Source organism: Homo sapiens, chromosome 11 (genome assembly GCF_000001405.40).
Source record: "Homo sapiens chromosome 11, GRCh38.p14 Primary Assembly".
NCBI classification, from domain to species: Eukaryota; Metazoa; Chordata; class Mammalia; order Primates; family Hominidae; genus Homo; species Homo sapiens.
Genome location: NC_000011.10, coordinates 110786970 through 110790492, shown reverse-complemented (window position 1 = coordinate 110790492; position 3523 = coordinate 110786970). Strand labels below are relative to the sequence as shown.

Here is a 3523-nt window from a genome sequence, read left to right as displayed (position 1 = left end):
GATAAAAATATAACCTTAAGTGGGGAAAAACAGAAAGTCTCAGAAGACTACATACACTATCATGTCATTTTTTAACCAAAGGAAAAAAAAACAAGCAAAACTAAATAACATACTCTTCAGGAATACATACATATGTGGTAAACATATTTTAGATGGTTAAAAATGCAAACTCTAGTAGGAAAGTAGAGGGTTGGATCAGAGAAAAACATACAGGGCTGTTTCATTGATGTTGAGAATGGTTTAGTACCTAGGATGGGTGGTAGGGTCATGAGTTTTCATTTTATTATTATGCTGCAAAACTTCCATATATGTTATATATATTATCGTGTATTTATCAAATATTATATGACAATAAATAATTAAAAACGGATACGAGAAGAATACTTAGAATTATGTTTTCTTATCATTTCAGATTTTTTATATTACAAAGTTGCATTTTATATTTGAGCAGCAGGCAGCCAAGAATATGTGTACGGTATACTGAAGTTTACAAAGGCCTTTCTTATAACATCTTTTGAAAATCTTGTATAGTAGTTATTATTATACCTGCCTTTCAGATGAGTAAACCAAGGAAGAGCTTAAGCGATTTATTTAATCTCACATGACCTGCGAGTAGGAGAGATGTCTTTAATCGTCTAAAATTAATGCTCCTATAACCATTTGGAAGCATAGGGCTTTCTTGTTCAACAAAAGACCAAATGAATCCTAGAACATTAGAGCTGGAAGGAGTTTAAAGATCAGACTTTTCAATTCCTTCATTCCATAGATGGAGAAAAGAAGACCCACGTCCATTAAGGATTTGCCTGGCATCACACAGCTCCTTTCAATGGAAGAAAGGACAGTTGACTCATGTCTTGACTCACATCTTCTGAACCCAAGTGAAGCCCTTTTACACTCTATCAGACTGCCTTTGAAGTAGATTGATACTATTATTTTGTAGCCACTTGGCTATAAGAGAACAAAAAACTTGAACTTAAGGCATGCCGAATATCCATCGTTCGGATGAATGTTGAAGACTGTGATTCATAACAGAAAAGCTGCAGAGAGCCTTATTTATTAAAAACATCAACTGATGTATTAAATATCACAACACTTTAACTTATGAATGCAGGTTTGATATTTGCAAAAAAAAAAAAAAAAATTCCTGCAACAAGATGAAGAACCCAACAGCTGCTTTCTGAAGAGAGATAAAGAGCTGTATCATTTGAAGAGATCCTCAATCTGAGACATCCAGTGAAACATCGGTGATACTGGTTCTTAAAATGGCATCGGATTCATTAAAACATATACAAATGAGTTGGTGTATTAGCCTTTTAAGAATACTCAGAGCCTCAATAGTCTTTCCTCACACTCCTTATAATCTCCAGTTACTAAAGGCTTTTAAATTCATTTAAATAAACCCTATAGTGAATAACTATAAGAAGTAGAATGAGGAGATACATTTGTCAGCTTACTCCTTTCTGTCCGTGGATGCTGCTGAGGAAGCATTGATAAAGTCTCTCTTCTCCCTGCCATCATGTCTAAGTCAGAGTCTCCTAAAGAGCCCAAACAGCTAAGGAAGCTCTTCATTGGAGGGTTGAGGTTTGAAACATCAGATGAGAGCCTGAGGAGCCATTCTGAGCAATGGGGAACGCTCACTGAATGTGTGGTAATGAGAGATCCAAACACCAATCGCTCCAGGGGCTTTGGGTTTGTCCCCTATGTCACTGTGGAGGAGGTGGATGCAGCCATGAATGCAAGGCCACACAAGATGGGTGGAAGAGTTGTGGAACCAAAGACAGCTGTCTCAAGAGAAGATTCTCAAAGACCAGGTGCCTACTTAACAGTGAAAAAGATATTTGTTGGTGGCATTAAAGAAGACACTGAAGAACATCCCCTAAGAGATTATTATGAACAGTATGGAAAAACTGAAGTGATTGAAATCATGACTGACCAAGGCAGTGGCAAGAAAAGGGACTTTGCCTTTGTAACTTTTGACAACCATGACTCCACGGATAAGATTGTCATTCAGAAATACCATATTGTGAATGGCCACAACTGTGAAGTTAGGAAAGCCCTGTCAAAGCAAAAGATGGCTAGTGCTCCGTCCAGCCAAAGAAGTCGAAGTGGTTCTGGAAACTTTGGTGGTGGTCGTGGAGGTGGTTTCAGTGGGAATGACAACTTTGGTCATGGAGGAAACTTCAGTGGTTGTGGTGGCTTTGGTGGCAGCCATGGTGGCAGTGCAGACGGCTATAATGGATTTGGTAATGATGGAAAGAATTTTGGAGGTGGTAGCAGCTACAATGATTTTGGCAATTGCAACAATCAGTCTTCAAATTTTGGACCCATGAAGGGAGGAAACTTTGGAGGCAAAAGATCTTGCCTCTATGGTGGTGGAGGCCAATACTTTGCCAAACCACAAAACCAAGGTGGCTATGGGGGTTCCAGTAGCAGCAGTAGCTATGGCAGTGGCAGAAGATTTCAATTAGGAAACAAAACTTAGCAGGAGAGGAGAGCCAGATAAGTGACAGGGAAGCTATAGGTTATAACAAATTTGTGAACTCAGTCAAGCAGGGTGGTGGCAGGGCTTAGCTGCTACAAAGAAGACACGTTTTAGACAAACATTCATGTGTATGGGCAAAAAACCTCAAGGACTGTATTTGTGACTAATTGTATAACAGGTTATTTTAGTTTCTGTTATGTGAAAAGTGTAAGGCATTCCAACAAAGGGTTTTAATGTTTTTTTTTCTGCACCATGTTGTTGATTGCTAAATGTAATAGTCCGATCATGATGCTGAACAGAATAAATGTCTTAAAAAAAAAAAAAGTAGAATGAGGAAATGGGAAGAGTACTGGACTTTTTTCTGGAGCCAAAGGACCTAGGTTTAAATGTCAGATCTGCCATTTACTTGCTTTCTGAGGTTAAACAAGTTTCTCAACCTCTCTGATCCTTGGTTAACTGATATGTAAGGTGACAATGATAATTACTACCTTACAGAATTAAGAAATATAATATATGGGGAAGGTCTTAGTAAACTGTAATAAATAATACAAATATCCTTGTAGCTTTTATACAAAATCCTGTGACTCAATCATTCATTACATAATCATCCATTCAATGAGCATATTGATCACCTACTCAATAAATGAATGACACTGTTTTTGATACTGTGGAACATCCCAAGATACAAAAAATCTGGTTTTGGCCATTTGGGAACCAAAGGAGATATTTTTTCCTAATATATGTAAATATTTATAATAAGAACCCATATGTAATAACGTCCGTAGAATTAGTACAGAAAAAAAGATAAGACTACAGGGCTGGGAGAGATCAATCTGACTAGAGTGATAAGGAAAGGCATCTTAAAGAAAATGGCATTGGGCCAGTTTTTAAGGATGGGCAGGATTTCTAAAGGAAGAGGGTGGCTTTCAAAGTGGAAGAAAAAGCATGAACAAGGGCTTAGAAATGGAAGCACACCTTCCATCTCCTCTGGATCCTTATTTGTTTTTTTATGTGAGCACTTGGTTTTTGACAGTATCACTT

At 37.6% G+C, this 3523-nt stretch overlaps 1 pseudogene; it reads left to right on the top strand.

Moving 5' to 3' along the window:
- HNRNPA1P60 (heterogeneous nuclear ribonucleoprotein A1 pseudogene 60) lies at positions 1435 to 2793 on the top strand (annotated as a pseudogene).